Source organism: Homo sapiens, chromosome 19, assembly GCF_000001405.40.
Source record: "Homo sapiens chromosome 19, GRCh38.p14 Primary Assembly".
NCBI classification, from domain to species: Eukaryota; Metazoa; Chordata; class Mammalia; order Primates; family Hominidae; genus Homo; species Homo sapiens.
In genome coordinates this window covers 37,995,411-38,023,166 of record NC_000019.10, presented here as the reverse complement: position 1 = coordinate 38,023,166, position 27,756 = coordinate 37,995,411, and the positions used below count along the sequence as shown (strand labels likewise).

General features: G+C 48.0%; 1 protein-coding gene across 7 annotated transcripts in view, besides 5 other annotated features; it reads right to left on the bottom strand.

The window, feature by feature from the left end:
* SIPA1L3 (signal induced proliferation associated 1 like 3) overlaps positions 1-27,756 on the bottom strand; it is a 301,162-nt gene that overhangs the window by 185,203 nt on the left and 88,203 nt on the right. The window contains exon 2 of one of the 7 annotated variants that reach the window (XM_047438487.1): positions 14,972-15,071. The exons of the other annotated variants lie outside the window; for them this stretch is intronic. The gene's annotated coding sequence lies outside the window, so the exon portion shown is untranslated. The remainder of the gene's footprint in view (positions 1-14,971; positions 15,072-27,756) is intronic. 7 annotated transcript variants of the gene reach the window in all.
* Positions 9,970-10,542: an enhancer, noted in NCBI's record as "H3K27ac-H3K4me1 hESC enhancer chr19:38503265-38503837 (GRCh37/hg19 assembly coordinates)". NCBI's record gives its function as "activates a minimal SCP1, AML or CMV promoter by ChIP-STARR-seq in naive H9 embryonic stem cells {active_cell/tissue: H9 hESC(naive)}" and the evidence as "EXISTENCE:reporter gene assay evidence [ECO:0000049][PMID:30033119]".
* Positions 15,697-15,756: an enhancer, noted in NCBI's record as "active region_14565". NCBI's record gives its function as "activates an Ori minimal core promoter by ATAC-STARR-seq in GM12878 lymphoblastoid cells {active_cell/tissue: GM12878}" and the evidence as "EXISTENCE:reporter gene assay evidence [ECO:0000049][PMID:35858748]".
* Positions 18,629-18,748: an enhancer, noted in NCBI's record as "active region_14564". NCBI's record gives its function as "activates an Ori minimal core promoter by ATAC-STARR-seq in GM12878 lymphoblastoid cells {active_cell/tissue: GM12878}" and the evidence as "EXISTENCE:reporter gene assay evidence [ECO:0000049][PMID:35858748]".
* Positions 19,155-19,686: an enhancer, noted in NCBI's record as "H3K27ac-H3K4me1 hESC enhancer chr19:38494121-38494652 (GRCh37/hg19 assembly coordinates)". NCBI's record gives its function as "activates a minimal SCP1, AML or CMV promoter by ChIP-STARR-seq in primed H9 embryonic stem cells {active_cell/tissue: H9 hESC(primed)}" and the evidence as "EXISTENCE:reporter gene assay evidence [ECO:0000049][PMID:30033119]".
* Positions 22,985-24,184: an enhancer, noted in NCBI's record as "P300/CBP strongly-dependent group 1 enhancer chr19:38489623-38490822 (GRCh37/hg19 assembly coordinates)". NCBI's record gives its function as "activates an origin of replication core promoter dependent on BRD2, BRD4, P300/CBP, MED14 and CDK7 cofactors, with strong dependence on P300/CBP, by STARR-seq in HCT116 cells {active_cell/tissue: HCT116}" and the evidence as "EXISTENCE:reporter gene assay evidence [ECO:0000049][PMID:35650434]".

The window sequence follows — 27,756 nt, the reverse complement described above, 5'->3', positions numbered from 1 at the left end:
ACGGTGGTCCTGCCTCCAGCCCAGCCTAAGTAACTCCGTGGTAGAGTGGGCTCACAGACAGACCTCTGCAGATAAGCTGCTCTGGGAAGAAAATGCTGTGTGGCCATTCCACACACAGCAGATTGGCCGAAATGCCAGGCTGACAACACCAAATGTGCTGAAGTTGTGGAGTAAGGGGAACACTCAGTCACTGCGGGTGGGGGTGGAAATGGGAACAAACATTTTGGGAGAGCTATCTGGCAACTTCTTGTAAAGATGAAGAGAGGGTAACCTCAGTGACAAACTTCACTTCACCTACTGACAGGCCCAGGGCTCCCTGCTGAGCCCCCAGACCCATGTGCGGCTGTGCAAATTCTTTCTGGGTTGAAGCACAAGGTTTTCGTTGTGATTTTACTACATGCCAGGCACTGTTTTCTGTTGTGTTTTGTTTTTTCTTTTTTATTTATTTATTTTTTTCTTGAGATGGAGTCTCGCTCTGTCACCCAGGCTGGAGTGCAGTGGCACCATCTCGGCTCACTGCAGGCTCCGCCTCCCAGGTTCAGGCAATTCTCCTGCCTCAGCCTCCCGAGTAGCTGGGACTAGAGGCACCTGCCACCACGCCCGATTTTTTTGTGTGTGTCTGTGTATTTTTAGTAGAGACGGGGTTTCACCATGTTAGCCAGGATGGTCTCAATCTCCTGACTTCGTGATCTGCCTGCCTCGACCTCCCAAAGTGCTGGGATTACAGTTTTTCTTCTTAAAGATAGGGTCTCACTCTGTCACCCAGGCTGGAGTGCAGTGGCACAATCATAGCTCACTGCAGCCTCGACCTCCTGAGCTCAAGCGATCCTCCCGCCTCAGCCTCCCGAGTAGCTGGGACTACTGGTGCATGCCACCATTCCCGGCTCTGTTTTCTGTTCTTTAACTACCAATCCATTTAAACCTCTTAATAACCTGTGAAGTAGGTTGTACTATGATCTCCATTTTTAACAGACCAGAAAACTCAAGTACAGAGAGGTACCTTGCCCAAGATCACACAGCAAGTAGACGGCACAGCCAGGAGGGATTTGAACCCAGCGGGTCTGGCTCTAGAACCACCAACAATGGTGCCTACTAAATGCAACAGTGAAGAGTATGAGCTTAGCCTTGAACTCTGTCTCCTTCCATATACAGACATCAATGTCAGATGGGTCAAAGACCTAAATGAAAAAGGAAAAATATGAACATGTCTAGAAGACAGCACAGGTGCGTATCTTCAGAACCTTGGGGAGGGCAAAGGTTTCTCATTCAGGAATTCTAGAGAAGCATTTCCCCTCTCCTCACAAAAAGGACTGGATTCATACGCGGGGTGCAGTGGCTCACGCCTGTAATCCCAGTACTTTGGGAGGCCAAGGCAGGCAGATTGCTTGAGCCCAGGAGTTAGAGACCAGCCTGGGCAACACAGCAAGACCCCATCTCTATTAAAGAAAAATAGAAAAATTACTCAGGCATGGAGATGTGCACCTGTAGCCCCAGCTACTTGGGAGGCTGAGGCAGGAAGATCACTTGAGCCCAGGAGATCAAGGCTGTAGTGAGCCATGACTGCATCACTGCATTGCAGCCTGGGTGACAGAGCAAGATTCTGTCTCCAAAAAAAAAAAAAAGGATCAGACTCATCTAACAGTCATTTTCCCCTTCACCAGTCTGCCTTTTCTCCAGCTTGGAATGCAGATATGCAGATGTGATAGCTGGATTTGAGAGAGTCCCCTTGTCCCCAGAACTACCCTGCCCAGACTAGAAGGGCTGAGTTCTCTGGGTCCAACAGCTGTCTTAAGGCCATGGCGGCAAGAGGGTCAGAGCAGTGCTGGTGTTGACCTGTCAGCCACTGAACCTGCCAGCCTCTCTCTCCAGACATTGTTATATGACACAAAGGACCGCCTATGTGTTGAGGTGACAATGTCTCTTGTGAATTCTGCTAGCTGCGGCTGAATCATTCCTAACTGAAACACCTGCTGCAGCCGGGGGCCACGTGCTGTGCCACCACCCTGGAGAGTCTGCAGAGAGCCACCAACATGGACCTGAAGGGGTCTCAGAAAGACTCAGCTAAAAGCCGGGCACGGTGGCTCACGCCTGTAATCCCAGCACTTTGGGAGGCTGAGGCAGGCAGATCACCTGAGGTCAAGAGTTTGAGACCAGCCTGGCCAACATGGCGAAACCCTGTCTCTACTAAAAATACAAAAATTAGCTGGGTGTGGTGGCACACGCCTGTAGTCCCAGCTACTCGGGAGGCTGAGACAGGAGAATTGCTTGGAGGCAGAGGTTGCAGTGAGCCAAGATAGTGCCACTGCACTCCAGCCTGGGCGACAGAGTGAGACTCCATCTCAAAAAACAAAAAAAAAACAAAAAAAACTCAGAGATGAATTGTGGGACTCAAAGATTTCCACTGAGCATGGCTGATCAGAGGCAGCTAGAAAGATGACCTGGTGCCCGAATTAATGCTTGGGGACCTGAAGAGAGAATAGCTTCTTTCTCCTTAACACACTACTAAGGGCAGCCAGGGTGACTGTCATTTTAAAGGCCAGGCCCAGCCCACTGGCACACAGGCACTGTGGTCGGCTGGCCCCAGGCTCAGGGGCTGCGGAAATCCTGCATAGCTGTGGATCCTTTTTCTTCCTGTCACCAGCCATTTGCTGGATGTGCCAACAGTTAAGCCCCTTCCTGAACGCCTATGAAAACAGCCTGTCAATGTGGTTTCGACTGTTGGGTGCTTTTCCACAAAGCACTCTCCAGACCCCAGCTAATCAGATGGAAGACAGAACAGTGGTCAATCTACCAAAATAGGTCAGGCTTTATTTTGTAATCCTCTTATTCATAACACATTGAAAGGGAAGAATGAACGGAAAAAAAAAATTACTAACAGTGAGAAAGTCTACGGTGACTTACCCTCTCTGTGCCTCAGTTTCCTCATCTCCAAAATGGGGATAATAGTAAGGGTGTTGTGAGGATTAAGTAAAAAAATTACTCCACAAAAATTGTTTAGAACAAGACTTATTATGCACTAAGTATGCATTAAGTGTGAGCTACCATTATTCTATTTATTTATATATAGAGAGAGAGAGACGGGGTCTCACTCTGTTGCCCAGGGTGGAGTGCAGTGGTGCAGTCATAGCTCACTGCAGTCTTGAACTCCTGGGCTCAGTTGATCCTCTCGTCTCAGCCTCCTGAGTAGCTGGGACTACAGGTGTGCATCACCACACCTGGGTAATGCTTTTTAAAAAAGTTTTGTGCAGATATGGTCTTGCTAAGTGGCCCAGGCTGGTCTCAAACTTGTGACCTCAGGGAATCCTCCTGCCTCAGCCTCACAAAATGCTGAGATTACAGGTGTGAGCCACCACACCTGGCCAGAGCTACCATTATTCTTATAGCTGGTGATATGGTAGGTTTCTTGAACTGATGCTCCTTGACAAGCCTCAAAATCCCACCCTCTGGTCAACCAGACACACACAGAAAGTCCGTGCTCTGATTCTGGTCACTTAAGGCTTGAAGGTCCAGGCCAATGGGCAGAAGCTGGCTATGATGGACCTGGGTACTGTGGGCAGGAAATGTATCAACTCCAGTTGCTAAGTGCCCACCCAGCAGCCATTCTTCTCTTCCTTCTCAGGATGCTCAGCTAAGACTACATTTCCCAACCTCCCTTGCAGCCAGCCTGGCCAATGCAAGGTAAATACAAGCTGTGGGACTTTGAGGAAAATTCCTCAGCAGAAACGCAAAGCTGGACTATGCTTTTGTGCCTCTCCCTCACCCTATTCCCACCTGGACTCCAGACTCACTAGCTTGACTCCAGCAGTCACACTGGGCCATGAAGCCACCTTAAGGACAAAGGCCCTGTGCTAGGGATGGTGAGCAGAAGGACCCTGCATCAAAGCACTCTGCTTTTCTTGATGACTGTGAAGCTGCCACACCAGGCACGGACTGCCTATCTCTGGATGTCTTACTCAGGACAGAAACTGCCTTCCACTGAGTTTACACCACTGTTATTTCTGGTGTCTGTTACTGGCAGCCAAATGGGCTTTTCAAATGAGCCGGTAGTCTTGCATAGCAGATGAGTGATGGGACAGTATTTTACACCAAAGAAATCCTTCTAGTAACCTGCCACTATTTAAAGTATCCTCATGCTTTAGGATGCCTTGCTCTCCTCAACACCAGGGAGAAAGCTAGAACTTCCCAGATACAGAGTGGGGTTACGATCACTTTGCCTTAGGGAGAGGTAAAGTGAGAAATATATGAGATGTTGAGTCATTCATTCAATAATGGGCACTACCTCACTCTGGACACTGTGTGGGGTAGGATGCTAGGTACGGTGAACAAAATGTACCTGCCCTCACAAAATGTACCGTCCAGACTAGGGGACCAGAGTAAAGAAGTAAGCAAACAGGTACATATATAAGTTCAGTGGTGAGAACCAGAATGAATTTAAGCCCAGAACTAAAGAAAAAGCAGAAGGAAGCTATGTGAAAAGTGGGAGTAAGGATAACCCAGAATGTCCATTAGCTGAAGAATTAACAAAATGTGGTACCTCCATACAATGGAATATTCAGCCATAAAAGGAATGAAGCAAGAATCCATGCGTGACATGGATGGGCCATGAAAACATGATGTTGAGTGAAAGCCGGTCACAAAAGACCATGGATTATACAGTTCCATTTACATGAAATGTCCAGAATGGGCGAACCCATAGAGATAGAAAGTAAATTCGTGGCTGGGTGTGGTGGCTCACGCCTGTAATCCTAGCCGAGGCGGGCAGATCACCTGAGGTCAGGAGTTTGAGACCAGCCTGGCCAACATGGTGAAACCCCGTCTCTACTAAAAATACAAAAATTTGCCAGGCGTGATGGTGCGCGCTTGTGATCCCAGCTACTCTGCAGGCTGCAGCATGAGAATCACTTGAACCTGGGAGTCGGAGGTTACCATGAGCCGAGATCATACCACTGCACTCCAGCCTGGGTGACAGAGCAAGACTCTGCCTAAAAAAAAAAAAAAAAAAAAAAAAAAGACACTCAAAGGGCTATCCAGACTGAATGATTAGATTGGTAATAAATTCTCTAAGAAAAAAAAAAAATCAGAGAATCCCAGGAGATGGAGAAGGATACATGAGTCTGTTCAAAGAAACACGCAGGGAGCCCATGTGGCTGGATGGCTGCAGCAAGGGAGGGTGTGCCTCAAGACATAGCTGGTGCTCGAGGCGCTGTGTGGCCGCAGTCAGCCACATGCTTTTTAGTGTGATGGGAAGCAGGGGAATGATATGTTCTGATTTACAGTTTTGAAAGATCCCTCTGGCTGTTTCACAGAGATTGTCAGTGTTCAAAAGAAGCAGAGAGAGGCCAGGCATGGTGGTTTATGCCTGTAATCCCAGCATTTTGGGAGGCAAGATGGGAGGATTGCTTTAGCCCAGGAATTCAAAGCCAGACTGGGCAACACTGCAAGACCCTGTCTCTACAGAAAATAAAAATAAAAAAAATCAGCCAGGCATGTGGCACATGCTTGTAGTCCAGCTACTCAGGAGGCTGAGGGCTGGAGGATCACTCGAGCCCAGGAGTTCGAGACTGCAGTAAGCTATGATGACACCACCACATTCCAGCCTGGGCAGCAGAGCAAGACTCTGTCTCAAAAGAAAAAAAAAAAAAAAAAGGAGATAGCTGTTGCTATATGGTGGTGGCCCAGGGTGAGGACAGTGGAAGGAAAGGAGAACTCTGGTGAAGATTTGTTTAGGCTCAGGAACAAACAGGCCTTGCTGGTGGACTGGCCATGGGTGTGTGGTAGAAAAGGAAGATTTAAGAATGACCTTCAGAGGGTCTCATCGGTTTTTCCAAACTGATTTTCTGCTGGATTCAAATTGAGTAAGACACAATATCAAGAACAGTTCCGCAAATGCCTGTTACATGAATTCAATAAACAAAGTCACTGCTCTATTTCTTTGAAGGGCCTATTTTTGTATTTTCAATAAAGACACGAAGTTGGGCAAGGTGGCTCACACCTGTAATCCCAGCACTTTGGGAGGCCGAGGCAGGTGGATGACCTGAGGTCAGGAGTTCAAGACCAGCCTGGCCAACATGGTGAAACCCCGTCTCTATCAAAAATGGAAAAATTAGCCAGGTGTGATCGTGTGCCCCTGTAATCTCAGCTACTCAGGAGGCTGAGGTGGGAGAATTGCTTGAACCCGGGAGCCGGAGGCTGCAGTGAGCTGAGATCACGCCACTGCACTCCAGCCTGGGTGACAGAGTGAGACTCAGTCTCAAAAAAAAAAAAAAAAAAAAAAAAAAAAGCCAGAGGAGGCAGAAAAAGAAGTATCTGGTAAGGAGCAGAAAACAATTACAAACATGACCGGTATTAACCAAATATATCGATAATCACTTTAAGGCCAGGTGTGGTGGCTCACACCTGTATTCCCAGCACTTTGGGAGGACAAGGCAGGAGGATCACTTGAGGTCAGGAGTTCAAGACCAGCCTGGCCAACATGGTGAAACCCCATCTCTACTAAAAATACAAAAGTTAGCTGAGCGTGGTGGCATGTGCCCGTAATCCCAGTTACCGGGGAGGCTGAGGCAGGAGAATTGCTTGACTCTGGGAGGCAGAGGTTGCAGTGCACCGAGACCGTGCCACTGAACTCTAGCCTCAGCGACAGAGACTCCATCTCAAAAAAGAAGACGTGAATTCACAGTATGTATACCTATATGTGTGTATGTTTCTGGTTTGAATAAATGGGTAGTTGATGATGTCATCTGCCAATATGGACCACTACCCACCAGTGGATGGCAGAAAAACAGGCACAGGTAAGGATACTGACTATGTTTTGATTCGTATATATAGTCCACTAAAAATAGAGCTGGCCTTAGAAGTGTTTTAAGTCCTAGCATGAAACGCTATTACTCCAAGTCAGGTAAGTTAAAACTGGGGTGGTAACAGAACCCTATCTCCAATTGAGTATTTGTTACTTCATGCAACAAACCCAGATGGGGCTAGCTTTATGAGTGTGTGACCCCAGAAGCTGTGAGCCCTTCCCTTGGTCTAATGCTCTGTTGCCATCTTGAAATTCTAAATCATTTTATCTTTGAACTTGTATTTTGTAAGTGAAGTCCAGGGCCAATGGAGCATGCATGTGAGCAGAAGAGATCCGAGCCACGTGTGTGCCTGTCACTCCTAGTCATGGCATCCTCATACAGTATTCCTGATCCCCTGTGAGCGCAGATTCCGGCGGACCAACGATGCATGCAAGTTCAGCAAGATTGAAAGCAAAAAGTATAAAGTAAGCATATTATCACAACTACAAGGGAGTAAGCAGGGACACTGACAGTCCCCAGAGGCCCCTCCATTAGAGCCAGGAGTTGCTTCGAACACAGCAGAAAGAAGGCAATGAAACATGAAATGCAGAAAGAAACATGAAGACCATGGAGACCTCTCACATTCTTTTTTTTTTTTTTTTTTTTTTTAACAGGATCTTGCTCTGTCACCCAGGCTGGAGAGCTGTGACCTGATCACAGCTCACTGCAACCTTGACCTCCCAGGCTCAAGTGGTCCTCCCACCACAGCTACCTGAGTAGCTGGGACCACAGGTGCACACCACCATCCCTGGCTAGTTTTTGTATATTTTGTAGTGACAGAGTTTCGCCATGTTTCCCAGGCTGGTCTCAAACTCCTGGGGTCAAGCAGTCTGCCCGCCTCAGCCTCCCAAAGTGCTGGAATTACAGGCATGAGTCACCGTACCTGGCCACATTCTTTTTTACTTGCCACACTTCCCTGAATTAGCCAACTAGGTATGCAGAACAATGACATGGAAGGCAAGAGAAAGATACGGTAACCCACAGTTCCTTTCCCTATCATTGCTTCGTCATCAGTAAGTCAAAAGTAGAATATTGGTAGAATGTGCACATGCCAAAATATGAAATGAAAACAGTTTAAGTTGGTTTTGTGCAGCGTTTCCACTATTCTGGTAAGAATGAATGACATATATACGTATAAGCCAGGAAATGCAGGCTGTGTCATTTAGTGATTCCAATGAGTGAAATGATCTGATACTTGCATTTAAATCTGGCATGGAGCTGGGCGTGGTGGCTCACACCTGTAATCCCAGCACTTTGGGAGGCTGAGGCAGAAGGATCACTTGAGGCCAGGAGTTTTGAGACCAGACTGGGCAACACAGTCAGATCATATCTCAACCAAAAATCTTTAAAAATTAGCTGGGCTGCCAGGCACGGTGGCTCACACCTGTAATCCCAGCACTTTGGGAGGCCGAGGTGGGTGGATCATGAGGTCAGGAGATCGAGACCATCCTGGCTAACACAGTGAAACCCCGTCTCTACTACAAATACAAAAAATTAGCCAGGCGTGGTGGCAGGCACCTGTAGTCCCAGCTACTCGGGAGGCTGAGGCAGGAAAATGGCGTGAACCTGGGAGGCAGAGCTTGCAGTGAGCCGAGATTGCGCCACTGCACTCCAGCCTGGGCGACAGAGCAAGGCTCCGTCTCAAAAAAAAAAAAAAATTAGCCGGGGGAGGATCGCTTGAGCCCAGGAGGTTGAAGCTGAAGTGAGCTATGATTGTACCACTGCACTCCAGCCTAGGCAACAGAGCAAGACCCTCTTATTTAAAAAAAAAAAAAAAAAAAAAAAAGAATGTGGTGTGAGAAGCATTCCATCGGGTGGCTCTGTGTGCTGAGCTTGGGGTGGACGTGAATTAAGTTGTTGCCTGTGCTTTCTGCCCCCAGAACCTTCAGCTGGAACACAGCCCGAGATCTGATGTCCTGACTTCAACATTTCTGTAATTCCTCTGTGCTGGTCTCATGAGTGGCAGATTTGGTGGTGCTGCACGCTTCACGGCTCACCAAACTCCGCTTAGTTCATCCCACCAAGTGACTGGGAAATCAGTCAGATTGCCTGCCATGGTCAGTGAGAAGTGATTCTCACCATGGCACCTGGCACCCAGGAACAGGCTGGTCTCTCCTAGCCTGACAGAGGCCCAGGTGAGCATTTACCAGCACGAATGCCATGGGCTCTCCACCTGTGGCTGGGTGGAGGATGCTCGCAGACAGGCCTCTAATAATGACCAGTGGGTGAAGTTTACTCTGACCACAAGTAAGGATCCTGGCAAGGTCTCCCAGGCAGAATGCCGGGCTGAGCAGGCCATGTGACGTGGAAGAGAATGAAGTAGATACCCACTGTCCCCAACAAAATGACAATGACTTTTGTCGCTGTATTTTACATCAACAGGATCTTATCAAATTTACTTCTCTGAATCTTGCTTTCCCTTAAATACATCGCAGAAATGCCTCCAGGCCAGCAAGCAGTGCTCCTACCCACTCTTCTTAGCAGCTGATAGGCCAAGAGTACAGATGTGCCATATTTTATTCAATCATTCCCTGAAAAATGGGCATTTGTTTTATTTCCAGGGTTTTTTGTTTTGCCACTGCAAACAATGCTGCAATAAATATCCTTTTCTACTCAGGCTATTTGTTTTTTTCTTCTGCATGGTAGATTCTCAGGAGTTGCAGTGCTGGGTCAAAGGCTGTTTATGAAAAATTACATGGTTACATTTCGGAATGGTTTCCAGGTGAAGGTGCAGAACTGCACATATAATACATGCTTGTTTTTGTATTGAGCATCTCATCTCTGGAAGAACATGTGTGACATGGGTGTCCTCACAGGAGGGGACTGGGAGATCGTAAGTAGGGGAAGAAGACTATTGTATACCTTCTTTGTACCATTTGAATGTTTTATCACACGCATGTACTGGCTCATAAAACTTTTTTTTTTCAGCCCATGCTCTAAAAAGGCTGCAGTGATTCACATGTCCTCCAGCAACTTGGGAGGGTACTCAGTTGAGCTCATTAATCCTCTATATTTTTCTCCTTCAGGTCGTTCTTTGCTTTTTGGACCTGGTACGAGCTGAAATGTGTCAACTTTTACCTTCTTGTAATCTGTGACACCTATTCTACAGCCCTTGGGTAGGCAGAAGGCAAACTCTCAGAGATGCTAATTTGGACAAGTGGCCTGGCCCAGCACCTGCTAGCAGCGCCAGAGAGAAACTCGGAGCAGGAGGCAACGGGAGCTCAGAGGTCATGCTGTTTTAAACTCACACTGACCAAGCTGCCCTCACTGGCTGAGTGGACTAGAGTCCCCCAGATGCCCAAAGCCCCTCAGAAAGGGTAAAGGAGGCCTGCAGCACTGGCCACTGCCTGTGGGACCTGCACTCTCAAGAACAAGGCCAGAAACAAGACACAGAAGGGAACAGGGGACAAAGATGGTAGAAGAATCAAGTTCATACAAACAAGAGGCCTCTCGTTTACTTCCTGCAGGTCCAGCCTCCTTGTGAGGCTGGCCCAGAACCAAAGGCCACACCAGCCACTGCTTTCAATCCCCAGGAAAACAAAGCTGACCTAAATGCAGACAGCAAGGGCCCGAGAATGGCAGGATATCCAATGTGATGCATCTGCCGCTGCAACATTAGCTGAAACTCTGGACTCACCTGGGGAGGAGAGAGGATGGGGGGTGGGGGGAATGGACTTGGCCAGATGAGAAAGCAGCTCTGGAGAAGACGGGGGATGGAGGACATGAAAGAATCTCAAAATGGGCAGCAACTCCACATGCTTCGGGTAGTGGATTGAGGTTGGATGCTGCTGTTCCACAGCCCAGGAGACAGTTCTGCCCCTCACCCCACACTCTGGCCTGAGCTGGGCTGGGAGCAGGGGAGGTTCCCTGTACAGCACCAGAACAGGGCCCCAGCCTTTACTTAGATGCTTCCCTCCACCTGAAATGCCCTTGCCCTTCATCCCTTAAGACTCACGGTAGCTCACACCTGTAATCCCAGGGCTTTGGGACACTGAGGTGGGAGGAACGCTTGAGGTCAGGAGTTCGAAATCAGCCTGGGCAACATAGTGAGACCCCCATCTCTACCAAAAAAAAAATATCAGCTGGACATGGGGGCATGCACCTGTGGTCCCAGCTATCCAGGAGGCTGAGGGTGCTTGAGCCAGGAGCCGGGAAGGTCGAGGCTGCAGCAAGCCGAGATCACATCACTGCACTCCAGCCTGGGTGACAGAGCAAGACCCTGTCTCAAAAAAAAAAAAAAAGACACAGCCCAGCAAGGATGTGCATTCATGCATGTTGGGAGACACAGGAGACAACCTGTGTGTCTGTCAGCAGGGATCCAGCAATGATGCAGACACATGGGAGAATCCTTCCTGTCCCTCCTTCCCTCATCCTCCACAGCAAGGCCATCAGCAAACTCTGTTGCCACTACCTCCAAAATACATCCTGAATTCATTTCCTTTCTTTCTCCCTCCCAGGCCAAGCCACCACCATCATCTTTCATCCTAACAACTTCATGAGATCCCTCTCTGGCCTCCCCAGGCCACCTTTGCCTTCCTACATTCTATTCTCCACCCACAGCCAGAAGGATTACATCAAACAGGGATCACCTCCAGCTGCTTTCCAGCTTAAAGTTCTTCAACATATCTTGGGCCTCATCATCTTCCCCCATCACCCAAATGCTCCCGCCACACTGGCTGCCTTGACCTTCCAATTTCATGCTTGCCCTGGGGCCTTTGCACGTGTGGCTCTAGCTATTCTCAAGGCAGGCTTCCCCAGGGAGGTCTTCCCTGACCACCCAGATCAGGGGGCCCCTACTTCAATCTACTTTTATTGCTTACAGAGCAGTAAGCATGACTGCTGTTTTTCTTTTTTCAAGACAGGGTCTCACTCCACTGTTCGGGCTGGAGTGAAGTGGTGCAATCATGGCTCACTGCAGCCTGGACCTCCGGGGCTCAAGTGATTCCCCCACCTTAGCCTCCCAAGTAGCTGGGACTACAGGCGCACATCACCATGCCTGGTTAATTTTTGTTATTTTTTGTAGAGAGGGGGTTTCACCATGTTGCCCAGGCTAGTCTTGAACTCCTGGGCTCAAGCGATCCTCCCACCTCGGCCTCCCAAAGTGTTGGCATTACAGGTGTGAGCCACTAGGCCCGACCCACTGATTGCTTTATTATGTCTTGCTGATGAATATATGAACTCTATGGGTACAGGGCTCTCACCTTGTTCACAATGGATACCTAGACTGTTGAAGACTGCTGCCACTCACAAGAAAGTATCTGCTAAATAAATGTTCTAGCAGCTCTAAGAAAAAATAAGATATATCTGCGCACATCCATGTCTTCTCAGTGAATAAAGAAACAAACTGTGTAAGGAGAGACGTTTCTGTGTGCATAGAAAGAGACCCTGTTTGTTGGTCATTGCCATGAGTTGTACCCTGGGTTCAGCACAATCTTGATGAATACTCACAACCATCCTTGGAAGAAGGTTGTGTTATTATTACCCCTATATTACAGGGGAGAACATGAGGCTCAGAGTCACTTACTCAAGGTCACACAGTGGGTAACAGTAGAGGTGAGGCTCCATCCAGGCAGCCTGACTCCAGAGTGTGTACATTCTTTTTTGTTTTGTTTTGTTTTTTAGACAGAGTTTCGCTCTTGTTGCCCGGGCTGGAGTGCAATGGTGCGATCTCGGCTCACTGCAACCTCCACCTCCTGGGTTCAAGCGATTCTCCTGCCTCAGCCTCCCGAGTTGCTGGGATTACAGGTGCCTGCCACCACGCCCAGCTAATTTTGTTATTTTTAGTAGAGACAGGGTTTCGCCATGTTGGCCAGGCTGGTCTTGAACTCCTGACCTCAGGTGATCCACCTGCCTCAGCCTCCCAAAGTGCTGGGATTACAAGAGTGAGCCACCGTGCCCAGACCCTTTTTTTTTTTTTTTAATTTTGAGAGACAGGTTCTCTGTCACCTTGGTTGGAGTGCAGTGACTTGATTTTAGCTTACTATAGCCTCAAACTCCTGGACTACAGTGATCCTCCCACTTCAGCCTCCTAAAGGGCTGGGGTTATAAGCGTGAGCCAACATGCCCAGCTCATTTAAAAAATTTTTATGTTCAGTAGAGACAGAGTCTCCTTATATTGCCCAGGCTGGTCTCAAACTCCTGGGCTCAAGCAATCCTCCTGCCTCGGCTTCCTCAAGTGCTGAGATCACAGGCCTGTGTTCTTAATAGCTCTACTAACAGCAGTTGCTGCTGGGAGGGGGTCTGGAGGGAGAGGGCTGAGCAGGGTTATAGACGTCAGTATAAGACATAATTAAGAGAGATAGGGAGTGTCAGAGATGAATGGAGAGAGATGGAAACCAATCTCAACAGGAAACAGAAGTTTGATCTCTTGTGTGGCAAACACCTGTGAGAAACAAGCAGCAGGCTCTCCACCCACCTTCCTCCAACCCACCAAAGCCTCATGCTGGACAGCAGGGCTTTGCGACATGATTAACCATCCATATCACGCCGTCATAGAAAACCAGACCCTGTCCTCCTGGTCACTGGGAAAATCCCCAAAGCAGATGGGGAAGCAGTGTGGCAACGAGGCCAGGGAGCGCCATCTTGGTGGTCAGCTAGAGCCAGAATCAAATCACAGGTCTGCGGCTTAGCATCCTGTGGACGTGTGGCTGGTTACCAGCCCATTCAGAATCCCAAGCCTCCTCATCAGTAACATGGTGGGAGGAGTAATATCCACTCTCAATAGGGCTGTTGAGAGGGTTAAATGAGGTAACAGCAATTGAACGGTTGGAAAAGTAACTGGCACAGAAGGACCCTCAAAAGCACACTGGCAAAGATGTTATTACAACGGAAATACTGAAGAAATAAACAACATCCTCGACTCCTCATGTCTGAGGAGGTCTCTTGGGCAAATTGGACTCTGATAAGATTAAGCACACAGCCTAAGTGAGGGGTCCCTCCAGAGGAGAGTGCCTCCACACTGGAAATTTCCTTCTCTCTCTACCTATTCTCCATGGAATAATAGCCCAGAATAGGGCTGGGCGCGGTGGCTCATCCCTGTAATCCTAGCACTTCGGGAGGCCAAGGCGGGTAGATCACAAGGTCAGGAGTTCGAGACCAGCCTGACCAACGTGGTGAAACCCCGTCTCTATTAGCCGGGCATGGTGGCAGGCACCTGTAATCCCAGCTACTCAGGAGACTGAGGCAGGAGAATCACTTGAACCCGGGAGGCGGAGGTTGCAGTGAGCCGAGATCATGCCATTGTACTCCAGCCTGGGTGACAGAGCAAGACTCCTCTCAAAACCAAACAAACGAAAACAAAAAAAAACCAGGCCAGAACAAGGGTCGCTCAAGCAAGAAGGAGAGATGGACCCCAGACAGCTGGAGAAATTTTGTGGTGCAGGCATGCTCCTCAGTGCTTCACAGGCAGGACCCAGCAGAAGAGACCCAGCTAGTATTCCTAGCTCTCAAGGTGGCTTTGAAAAAGGAATGTGGCCAGGCATGGTGGCTCATGCCTGTAATCTCAGCACTTTGAGAGGCTGAGCTGGGGAGATTGCTTGAGGCCAGGAGTTCGAGACCAGCCTGGGCAACATAGGGAGACCCTGTCTCTACCAAAAAATTTTTAAAAATTAGCTAGGCCTGGTGGCATGCACCTGTAGTCACAGCTACTCAAGAGGCTGAGGCAGGAGGATTTCTTGGGCCCAGGAGTTCAAGGCTGCAGCGAGCTATGATCCCATCATTGTACTTCTGTCTCTAAGGGGAAAAAAAAGAAAGGAAAAGGAATGGGGGTAAAGGGAGAATTTTAACAGCTTAAAAGGTAGCCTAGCCAGGAGCGGTGGCTCACGTCTGCAATCCCAGCACTTTGGGAGGCTGAGGTGGGTGGATCACCTGAGGTCAGGAGTTCAAGACCAGCCTGACCAATATGGTGAAACCGTGTCTCTACTAAAAATACAAAAAATTAGCTGGGCATGGTGGCAGGTGCCTGTAGTCCCAGCTATTAGGGAGGCTGAGACAGGAGAATTGCTTGAACCCGGGAGGCAGAGGTTGCAGTAAGCTGAGATTGCACCACTGCACTCCAGCCTGGCAGACAGAGCAAGACTCCATCTCAAAAAAAAAAAAAAAAAAAAAAAAAAAAGCAGCCTATGGTGATTTCTCACCTCTTCCCCAGTCAGAACACCAGTGGGCTTTGCAGTTTGTTCTTCATTTCTTAGAGTCCATGAAAAGAGGGCAAGGCCTCTGGGGGCCTGAGGTCCGCATCTGCAATAGGAGGATAACATTCAGTCTTCAGACGCACTCACATTCATTCAACATGCACTCATGAAGCAACTGCTATGGGCCAGGCACTGCTCTAGACGCTGGGGATACAGAAAGGAACAAAGACAAAGATCCCTGCCTTCACGGAGCTCACATTCCAAGGAGGATGGTGTAGAAAGCAAATATAGAACATCAGACCGTGATAAACACCATGAAGAAAAATAAAGCAGAAGACAGCGACAGGGAGGGCCATTTTAGACAGGGTGCTGAGGAAGGCCGCTCAGAGATGGTGTCTCAGAGATCTCAATAAAGTAACTAAATCATACATGCACACACATGCACACACACACCAAGATACTTACACACATGTAGCCAAGAACACAGTGCCTGGTATGGAAAATGAAGGTGATCTAATTTGACAGTTAAGAGTGCTCTAACAGGGTATGCTTAAGTTAAGCAAAAAAAGGTAGAAGAAGAATTAATAATAATAATAATAATAATAAATAATGAAGAGTGCTCCAGGGCTGACTGGCATTGGAATCTTCACAAAACCTATATTCTCCTCACATTTTCCAAAATCCCCCCTCCCCCGGGCAATTACAAATACAATATTTGTTTTTTTCTTTTCTTTCTTTTTTTTTTTTTTTGAGACAGAGTTTCACTTTTGCACTGCACTGGAGTGCAATGGCGTGATCTCGGCTCACCGCAACCTCCGCCTCCCGGGTTCACGCCATTCTCCTGCCTCAGCCTCCAGAGTAGCTGGGATTACAGGTGCGTGCCATCACGCCTGGCTAATTTTTGTATTTTTAGTAGAGACAGGGTTTCACCATGTTGGCCAGGCTGGTCTCGAACTCCTGACCTCAAATGATCCGTCTGCCTTGGTCTCCCAAAGTGCTGAGATTACAGGCGTCAGCCACCGTGCCCAGCCAATTTTTGTACTTTTAGTAGAGACAGGGTTTCACCACATTGGCCGGGCTGGTCTTGAACTCCTGACCTCAAATGATCCGTCTGCCTTGGTCTCCCAAAGTGCTGGGGTTATAGGCGGGAGCCATCGCGTTCTTTTCGTTTTCCTGCTTAGCAGCACCACAGACACGGAAGGCCCCTCTTATCAGGGCCTTACTCTACCTTCCCGGCCGCATGGTATTCCGCTGCACAGACAAACCCGACTGATTCCTCTAGTGCCTTATTAAGGCACACACAAGCCATTTCCCCTTTTCTGCTCTGACAAACACTGCTGTAATGAATAACCTTGGACAAAGATCACTTCTCACACTTGGGAACATGTGTAGGTGAAGCTTCCTAGAAGTGGAGCTGCCGGGGTGAAAGGTGGGTGTGTGCCCGGTCATACTCACAGGAATGGCCAGAGTCCCCTCCAAAGCGACAGTTCTGCTTTCCCTCCCACTAGCTCCGGAGAAGCCTGGATGCCCCCCGCACCACTGCCCACAGCATGTGCGCACGCCTTGTGCTCTTGCCCTTCTGAGAGGTGCGAAGTAGTATCTCGGCATGATTTTAATTGGCATTTCTCTTATTACGCCCAGAGTCAGGTATCTTTCCATGTGTCTGAGACGCATTTCCTGTTTCTACAGATGCTGCCCATGTCAGTGTGGGGGACTGTCATCTCCCTGGAGAGTATTCTCATGCCAATATTCAAAGCCCTCCTACCTTTCTTGCCCTCTTCCCTCTCTTAACGTGCCCCACTCCCTAGAAGGTAAAAGGCGTGATGCCCCACACCCTGCAAAGCCTGCAAGGTCAAGCATGATTGGCCCTGTCTGCTTCTTGCACCTTCTACTGCTCCATCCCCACCTCACTCATGCTGCTTCTAGGTTCGGGCCTTTCAGTTCTTCGAGACTGGCTCTACCCCACCTCAGGCTCTTTTTATATACAGTCCCCAACCCCTACCCTGGACTCACCCCTGCCACCACCACTCCCCTAGACCAGCAAACTTTGACTGATGCTCTCAGCCCCAGCATCACCTCCCCAACTAGTTACATGATGTCTTGGCACCCAGTTTTTTCCTCCACCATTCACCGCCTGTTTATCTGGGTGCTTTTATTTTTCTTTGAGACAGCGTCTCACTCTGTCGCCCAGGCTTGCAGTGCAGTGGTGGGATCATAGCTCAACCTCGGGGGCTTAAGCAATCTTCCCCCCTCAGCCTCCCAAGTAGCTGGGACCACAGGTGCACACTAAAATGCCCAGCTAATTTTTGTATTGTTTGTAGAGATGGGGTTTCAGCATGTTGTCCAGGCTGGTCTCGAACTCCTGGCCTGCAGCAGTCTGCCCACCTCAGCCTCCCACAGTGCCAGGATTCCTAGCTGAGTGACAGGCAAGTCACTGTGCTCCGCTTTCCCTTTCTCCTTATGTCACTATTATCACTTCATTCATTCCCTTAGCAAAGTTTAGTAAGGAGCATATTTGGTGGAAAGGGTCATACCTTTAACAAAACAGATTTGGTTCCTGCCTTTATGGAGCTGACATTAAGGGGAGGGGGAAGCCCTGATCAGGTCAGATGAGTAGCTCAGGGAAGAAGGGCGGGGTGGGCTTCGGAGCAACCCCCTGGGAGTGTGTTGAAGGAGACATCTGAAGGAGGAGTCGGCATCAGCCAGGCCAGAAGGGCAGGGGTAGTGGGCAGCACGGTGGGAGAACCAAGAAAGCAGCCCAGGAGCAAGGCGAAGACATGGTGCATTCAAGGAAGGCAGGCCCAGCAGCTGGAGCGCAGTGCACAGGGATCTGCAGGATGAGGCGGGAGTGGGGGCGGGTGGCAGGCAGGGGCCAGAGCAAGCAGGGTCTGGGGGGCCACACTGAAGAGCTGGCCTTCCTGTAGAGAGTTGCAATGAGGTTTTAGTGTCACTACAGTCAAGAAGTGTGGCCCAATTGCTGTCCTTTGGCATCCTGCTTAAATGATTCCAGCTTAGAGGTCCTATGAAGATGTTATAGTAGGCACGTGGCAGGGGACAGAGGGAGCAATGACTTCATCCCTGCCTGTAGCTGATTGGCCGGGGGTGGGTGGGGGACATCTGACTCAGCTGAGCCTGTCAAAAGAACCCTTTCCTCGGCCCCGGTTAGTCCGGAGGGAGACATCCTCCACTCCTCGGGTTGTTTTGGACTCGGGCTGAGAGAACATGCGGTGACTCTCTCTGGGGGCCTGTACTGAAACGTGTATTGCTCAGCAGTCTGTGATGGCCAGGCTTCCTGTCCAGTAGAATACAAAGCAGAAAGACAGACTGAATATAAGAGAATGAATAACGCAGATCTAGAGGTGGGGAGTGAACAAGTGAGGAAGAGAATGCAGATACAGTGGCATGTGTGTCCTGGTTCCAATCCCAGCACCCAGCCCGCCCTTCCTCTATGGCAGGTTTTGCAACCAGCCTGCTAGTGTGAGCTCACCCCTCTTATTAGTGATTGGTTCGGGGAAGATCACATGACCAGTGCTAGTCCAATCAGACAGGAGCTCTGAGGTTTTGCATGATAGTTCGGGACAGATACCTTCTTTTTCTTTCAGGACAGGGATAAGGACACAAGCCTGAGCGGGTCCTGGCAGCTGGTGTGCAACTTTCAGGGGAGCCACGTTTGAGGATGACACTGACATCAGAGGGAACAATAAAGAGACAGAAGGAAAATGGGTCACTGGCAATAGCCCCAGGCTCCTGGACCAGCCAGCCCAGACATCTGCCCCACCTCTGGGCTTTCCAGTTGAATGAGCCAATCCTTTCCCCTAAAATTTATGTCTATTTGAGTTGGTGTTTTTGTTACTTGCAACCAAGTAACTGACTGGTCCTGAGGCTTTCTTCAGGTCTCTGGGCCGCCCCAGGAGCCTCTGGTTAAATGCCCACTTTTTGCCTAAATTGCTGCAGTACAGGAATTTGGCCAATGACTCAACTTGCCGAACTTGCCCACCGCCTCCCCAGCTCTAGAATGGGGATAATTATATACACTTGATTGAGCTGTTAAATGGATTAAAAGTGATTTAAAGACTGTCTAGCACACTGTAAATTCTCAACACGTTAGCAATTACTATTCGAAAGCACTGAAGGGTAGCTGAAAAGTCCCAATCCCAGTGAGCAATCAGCCACATCCCTCCCCTGTCTTGTTTGTAGTTCCTTTGTTCAGGTCAACAAGTCCCCTCCTCACAAACAGTCCCAGAGAACAGCTAACCCAGTTTCTGTCAGAAGGGTGGCAAATCTGGCCTGGGGGTGGGGGTGGGGGATGGATCTGAAATGAAAGAGATTTGACTCAACTTCCCGGTTGCTGGGTGGCGGAGGAAGCCCTCATGAGCTCATTTCTCTACCAAATACAAGCTGGGGTCTAAAGTTTCAAAACACAGGCTGGGGCACGCTGGCACAGTCCCGAGAGAGGACAAAGGAAAGAGGCGGGATGGAAGAGAAACCGCCACATGGCAGGTTCCACAACGAGCTCTCTCGGGAGGAGGCTCCTGGGCTGGATTCCAGCCACATCCGTTCTCTGGGCAGCTACGAGGCAGCAGGAAAAAGGGACCCTGCCACGTCTGTATTTACAGCTGGGAACTGGCGGTGGCACGGGAAACTCGGAAATAAACTCAAGTCAGGAAGTGAGAGGTGCAAGCTGCTTCCATAGCAACGCCCATCTGGGGATCCCTGCCCACAGCCGGAATCATTCAGAAGTGGGGCTTATCTAGAGACATACACCAAATTCACGTTTTCCATTTGCACCCAGAAAATGACACTTAAACTATACTTCCTTGGGGAGCCTCTGTGAATCTCCCTGTACTACAGCTTGAAAAATCCCATTCTTCTTCAGAGCACGCAGAACACAGTACTTATCCATATGGCTCTGCGGTTCTTGTGTTTTCTCCCTGGCTGTGGGCTCCACCAGGGAGGAGCTGTGCCTGCCTTGCTCATTGGTGCCTGGCCCAGAGTAGGGTCTTCAGTTGATGTTTACTGAATAAACTCTCCTGTTTTCAGTCTTATTTTTATTTTATCTTTTGAGATGGAATCTCACTCTGTTGCCCAGGCTGGAGTGTGTGAACTCGGCTCACTGCAACCTCCACCTCCTGGGTTCAAGCCATTCTCATGCCTCAGCTTCCCGAGTAGCTGAGACTACAGCAGCATGCCACCACGCCTGGCTAATTTTTTTGTATTTTTAGTAGAGATCGGGTTTCACCACATTGGCCAGGCTGGTCTCGAACTCCTGGCTTCAAGTGATCCACCTGTCTTGGCTCCCAAAGTGCTGGGATTACAGGCATGAGCCACTGTGCCCTGCCAGCACACCAGTGTTAACAGCAGCATTATTCACTATAGCCAAAAGGTAGAAGCATCCCAAGTGTCCATCAACAGATAAATAGATAAGCAAAATGTGAGATATATATATATACATATAAATTTTTTTTTTTTTTTTTTTTTTTTTTTGAGATGGAGTCTCGCTCTGTCACCAGGCTGGAGTGCAGTGGCGTGATCTCAGCTCACTGCAACCTCCGCCTCCCAGGTTCAAGCGATTCTCCTGCCTCCTGGGATTACAGGCGCACGCCACCACTCCCAGCTAATTTTTGTATTTTTAGTACCGACAGGGTTTCACCATGTTGGCCAGGATGGTCTCAATCTGTTGACCTTGTGATCCGCCCGCCTCAGACTCCCAAAGTGCTGGGATTACAGGTGTGAGCCACCGCACCTGGCCACAAAATGTGATATATACATATCATTATTATTTAGCCTTAAATATGAATTGGAATATTATTTAGCCTCATAAAGGAAGGAAATTCTGATATATACAACATGAATGAACCTTAAAGACATGATACTAAATAAAATATGCCAGCCACAAAAGGACAAATACCGGATGATTCCACTCATAGGAGACACTTACATTCGTCAATCTCATAGAGACAGAAAATAGAAAGGTGGCTTCCAGGGACTGGGGTCTTGGGGATGGAGAATATTGTTTTTCAGAGACAGAGTTTCAGTTTACAAGATGAAAAATGTTCTGTGGATGGATGATGATGGATGCACAACCATGTGCATGTACTGAATGCCACTGAACTGCACACGTAAGGTACATTTTTTTGGTAACTATATCTATCAGTAATGTAACTGGGCATAATAAAATTTCAGAAAATTAAACACTTGACTTCTAGGTTACTAAATGAGTTGTGCATATTTTCTTTTTTACAGTTTCCTTAAAGGTATAACTGACAAATAAAAACTGTTCATACTTAAGGTGGACAACTTGTATATACATATACATTGTGACAAAATCACCACAATCAAGCTAAAGCTAATTATAAAATATAAAAAAAATTTGTTATGTATATTGTGCCACAATAAAAGTTTTAAATGGTTAATTTTGTGTTATGTACATTTTATCATATTTTATCATAATAAAAAAGTACTAAAAAACTGCAGGGCCAGGCACGGTGGCTCATGCCTGTGATCCCAGCACTTGGGGAGGCCAAGGCGGCAGGATTGCTTTGAGCCCAGGAATTTGAGACCAGCCTGGGCAACATAGCAAGACCCAGTCTCTACGAATAATAAAAACCATTAACCAGGCATGGTGGCACATGCCTGTGGTCATAGCTATTTGGGAGGCTGAGGCAAGAGGATCACCTGAGCTAAGAGGCTGAGGCTGAAGTGAGCTATGATTGTTCCCACTGCACTCCAGCCTGGGCAACAGGGCAAGACCCTGTCTCAGAATTTTTTTTTTAAGTTTTAAAAAATGTGGTTCTTTTGCAAGATCAGAAGAACCACAAAAGAATTAGAGTTCTTTCATCTCAAGAGAAAGGTGGGAGAGAAGATAAATATCTAGAACAAGTCTGGGCAGGCGGAAGAATGGAGTTTGAGGGATCATCTTTGATATCAAGAACTTTCTAGGTAGAAATTTAATAGGCCTCAAGTACACCTTAAGGAAGGGTGGGGTGCAAACGTCTCTGGACACTCAAACATTAAGCAGAGAGCTTTATTCTGAAGTAACTCCACCCAACCTCCCCAGAAGCCAAGCTCACATGATTCCTTAACTTTTTAACATTTTTCCTGTTTATGAAAGTAGTATATATATATGTGATATATATGTGATATATATATATGTGTGATATATGTGTGATATATGTGTGTGATATATATGTGTATATGATTGATGTGTTATATATATGTGTGTTATATATGTTATATATGTGTTATATGTGTGTTATATGTTATATATGTTATATATATGTTATATATATGTTATATATATATATATAACATATATATATATATAAAAAACTTGGAACATAAATGTACAAAGAAGATTATAGAGTTACTCATTCTCTCCCCACCAAAGGGCAACCACTGTTAAGACATTGGTTCATTTCCTTCCAGTCTTTTTTTTCCCAGCATGTATATAGAGAAGTGGGGAAGAGACATTTTCTCTCTTTAAAGTCTTTTGCATGACCAAGCATGAGGAGGAAAAAAAAAAAAAAAGTCTTTTGCCCCTGCTTTCCTAGGAGATTTTGAACATCGAGTGAAAAATAACATTTTTCAACGATGAAATTAAGCCTATTTCCTCAAACCATGGACTGCTGGGGAGAAAAGTGCTTCCCTCTTCCTCTCCTCTAATTTCTGCTTCCATCTGAACCACTATTTATAAACCGAGGTTCTTTTTTTTTTTTTTTTTTTTTTGAGACAGAGTCTCACTCTGTGCACTCTGTTGCCCAGGCTGGAATGCAGTAGCGTGATCTAGGCTCACTGAAACCTCCGCCTCCTGGGTTCAAGCGATTCTCCTGCCTCAGCCTCCAGAGTAGCTGGGATTATAGGCACCCACCACCACGCCCAGCTAATTTTTTTAATTTTTAGTAGAGACAGGGTTTCACCATGTTGGCCAGGCTGGTGTCAAACTCCTGACCTCAGGTGATCCACCCGTCTCGGCCTCCCAAAGTGCTGGGATTACAGGTGTGAGCCACCACACCTAGCTGACCAAAGGTTCTTAATCCTAACTGTGCATGCCCATTACAACAGGATATGATAATACTGTCATAGCCACTATTAATTGAGGAACTACTACAGAAGAGGCAGTTTCAAACACTTAAAAAACAGTATCTAATTTAATCCTTAAATCCTACGAGGCAGGTACTATCATCATTTTACAAATGAGCAAACTGAGGCACAGAGAGGTTACGCAACTTTCTCAAGGTCACAAGTGTTAGTGGGGGTGGTGGGATTTGAATCCAGGGCATCTGGCCCCAGGTACCTTCTTTCCCCTGGTCCACACTGTTCAAGACCCTGGCAATCATGACCAACTATAAGCTTCATTCAGGGCTAGGTTCCCAGTGTCCCTATCGCCAGGTTTGTCATGATTTTTCATACTCCTCTCCAGACTCATCCTGTTTCCTAAAGGAAATGAGAAATTGCTGGAATTCAGCAGAAGTGAGACAGCCGGAAGCTACAGCTGACCACACGCACACGTGGGTCTCCCACTGGGCTACCCAAGAAACATTCTTAAACGATGACCTTTCTGGAGCAACCAGGGGTCAGTTCCTGGGTGGATCGCCCGCCCGGACTGAGACCCACCCAGTGCCAGATGGACTGCGGAAGCCCCTCCCTAACGTCCACAGGCAGCGGAATGAAGAGCACGTTCAGCGCTGGAAAACCCAGCCCACCACTCACTTCCATGTGCAACTAGAGAGAAGGCTGGGGCGGTTGCCTGTTTAACAAGGATGGGCAAGACTGCTCATGTGCGTCCAGGAGCGGGGCTGGAGTTAATATTTAGTCATTGTGGAAGATTGGCCAGTTACGTTTTTGCCGTCATCACACAGGTCCCTGGAGAAGAGCAGCTTGTGGCTCCCTCCACCCCATGGTAAAACCAGGCCCAGCAGTGAAAGGGATCCCAGGAGTCAGTCACTGGGGGGTTTGGTCTCCTCCTCCTCAGCAGGAAAGAGATGAGAAATTGATGCTTTGGCCTGAAATCCACTATCTGTCCAGTTGCTGAACCAGAAAAGGTCTCCTCACAAAGGGGATGAACGAAGAACTGCAAGGTGGTCATTTACCCATCGCCACCCTGGCTCAGGACCTTCCCAACTGTCTGTGGGCAGCAGGATCGCAGTGCTTTTCATGGTCACACAATTTTTAGTCTTTGTGTGTGTGTGGGTGTGTGTGTGTGTGTGTGTGTGTGTGTGTGTGATAGATAGGGCTGGTTTTTGTTCTGTTAACATGCTAAAAAAAAGTAGGGAGTAAGGTACAATGAACTCCCTTGTACCCAAACCTAGATTCAAAAATTGTCAAGATTCTGCCATATTAGCTTCATCTATTCTTTATTTCTTCCTTTTCCCCCCTTTTCCTTCTTACCAAAGTATTTTATTGTATTTATTTACTTTTGGACAGGGTCTCACTCTGTCTTCCAGGCTGCTACAGTGGTGTGATCTTGGCTCACTGCAGCCTCAACCTCCCAGGCTCAAGTGATCCTCCTGCCTCAGCCTCCTGAGTAGCTAGGACCACAGGCATATCCCACCATGTCTGGTTAATTAATTTATTTTTACTTTTAGTAGAGATGAGGTCTTGCTATGTTGCGCAGGCTGATCTCCAACTCCTGAGCTCAAGCAATCCTCCCACCTTGGTCTCCCAAAGTGCCGGGAATACACATGTGTGGCACCACACCCGGCCTGAAGTATTTTAAAGCAAATGCCGGATATCATGTCATTTCAACTTTATGCGTTTCGGTTTGCAGCTCTGAAAAACATGGACATTTTCTTACATGTCCATAATATTAGGCTGGTTCCATTACCAATCAAAATTACTATGTCCTACCACATACTCCTGGAAAAAATTACTATGAATTCTTTCCTAGAAGATAAGACACAGGGCTGGCTGAGGAACAGGGAAATGGGTCATCTCAGCCTGCAGTAACAGAGTAATGCTTTTCTGGAGGGACTCTAGGCGATACAAATCCAAAAAGGTTTAACAAGCCGTGAGTCGCTTCTGACTCAGATTTTCCATTCATGCACTCATCAAAAGAATATTTACTGATGTCTACCATGTGCCTGGCAGTGCCCTAAGCATTCTTCTCTCTGGTACAGATGTGGAAACTAAGGCACAGAGAGGTAAAGCTACTTGCCCAAGGTTATCTAGCTCTTACCAGCTGGGGCTGGGATTTGAATCCAAGCAGCCCAAGTTTAAATGGCAACACCAGGTCCTGGCAAGGTGCCATTTGGGGCCTTCTACCAATTGGGAGACCAGTGCTCTAGGTTCCAAAGAGCACTCTCTCTCTCTCTTTTTCTTTTCTTTTTTTTTTTTTTTTTGAGATGGAGTCTCGCTCTGTCGTCAGGCTGGAGTGAAGTGGCACAATCTCAACTCACTGCAACCTCTGCCTCCCAGGTTCAAGCGATTCTCCCGCCTCAGCCTCCGGAGTAGCTGGACTACAGGAGCGCACCACTGCGCCCAGATAATTTTTGTATTTTTAGTAGAGACGGGGTTTCACCATGTTGGCCAGGATGGTCTCGATCTCTTGACCTCGTGATCCACCTGCCTCGGCCTCCCGAAGTGCTGGGATTACAGGCATGAGCCAACGTGCCCGGCCTTTTTTTTTTTTTTTTTTAATGAGACAGTCTCACTCTGTTGCCCAGGCTGGAGTGCAGTGGCACAATCTCAGCTCACTGCAACCTCCATCTCCTGGGTTCAAGTGATTCTCGTGCCTCAGCCTCCCGAGTAGCTGAGACTACAGGCATATGCTACCACGCCTGGCTAATTTTTGTATTTTTAGTAGAGATCGGGTGTCACCATGTTGGCCAGGCTGGTCTCGAACTCCTGACCTCAAGTGATCCGCCTGCTTCAGCCTCCCAAAGTGCTGGGATTATAGATGTGAGCCACCGTGCCCGGCCCAAAGAACATTCTCTAACTGTACTGGTGAATGCCTACCATGTGGAATCTTCCCAAACCCTATGTATGAGGCAGGGAAGATTGTATTAGTCCCACTTTTCAGACAAGGAAACTAAAGTACAGAAGACGAAGGTATCTATTAAAAGTTGCACATGTACTTGTGGATATTATGTTGTGTATCTAGCATCTCTACCTCATCTTCCCCCACCCACTCCCAAATACCACCTTCTTGGATAGGCATACAACCCAAATGGAATATTCCCTGGGGCTAGTATAAAAACACTGAGGATTGGCCGGGCACGGTGGCTCACGCCTGTAATCGCAGCACTTTGGGAGGCTGAGACGGGTGGATCACCTGAGGTCAGGAGTTCGAGACCAGCCTGGCCAACATGGTGAAACCCCGTCTCTACTAAAAATACAAAAATTAGCTGGGCGTCGTAGTGGGTGCCTGTAATCCCAGCTACTTGGGAGGTTAAGGCAGGGAGAATTGCTTGAACCCAGAAGGTGGAGGGTGTAGCGAGCTGAGATGGCACCACTGCACTACAGCCTAGGCAACAGAGTGAGACTCTGTCTCAAAAAAATAAAATAAAATAAAATACAGAGGATGGCAGTGGAGGATTGTGGAGATGTTGGTCAAAGGACACAAAGCTTCAGTTGGACAAGAGAAATAAGTTCAAGAGAGCTACTGTACATCATGGTAGCAACAATTACTAACAATACATGGCATACTTCAAAATGGCTGAGAGAGTAGACTTTAAGTGTTCTCACTACAAAAAAAGCAAGTGAGGTAATGCATTATGTTAAATGGCTTGACTTAGCCATTCTACAATGTACACACATACCAAAACAGCATGTTGTATACCATAAATATATGTGATGTTTACTTATCAATTAAAAACAATAAAGGCTGGGCTCCCGCCTGTAAATCCAGATACTCGGGAGGCTGAGGAGGAAGGATCATTTGTGTCCAGGAGGTCGAGGCTGCAGTGAGCTCTGATTGAACCACTACACTCCAGCCTGGGTAACAGAGCAAGACCCTGTCTCTAAGTAAATAAATACTGGCTGGGTGTGCTGGCTCACGCCTATAATCCCAACACTTTGGTTGGCCAAGGCAGGAGGATCACTTGAGGCCAGGAGTTTGAGACCAGCCCTGGCAATGTAGTGAGACCCCATCTCTACACACACACATCCCCCAAAAATTTAAAAATCAGCCAGGTGTGGTGGTGCATGCCTGTACTCCTAGCTATTTGGAGGCTGAGGTGGGAAGACTGCTTGAGGCCAGGAGTTCAAGGTTACAGTGAACTATGATCATGCCCTTCACCCCAGCCTGGGTGACAGACCTAGACCCTGTCTCGGAACAAAACAAACCACTGAAGACTCTAAATCCTCTTTCCACTGAGTTGATAAACCAGGAGGATCTGCCCGACTCCAGCCTGCTGGCAGAGCGAAGCCAAGGAGAGCCCCAATGGCACGTGTGGGCCCCATACTCGGGCTGCATCTGAAGCTCCCCTCCTACAGACTTCCCAGTGACATAAGACAAATTCACCTTTCAACCCAAAGAGGCTTCCTTAACCCACCCAGCATACACTGTCCCAACCCGCTTTTGTTCATTCTGTGCCCTCTGCCCAGGCCCCACCTCCTCAGGCCATTTTCCTGTGTATCTGGCAGAACTCCTACTAACCTTTCGAAGGCCAGCCCAACCACCCCTCTTCACAGTTCTCCCTGATGGTGCCCAAGCCGAGTTTCTCTTTCCTGTGTTCCCCCGCACTTGCAGCTCATCTACTCACCACGCTGCATTATGGCCGGCTGGGTGTCCCCCTCAGGAAGGTAGCACTGCACAGGGGTTAAAACTGCAGGCTCTGTGGGAATACATGGCT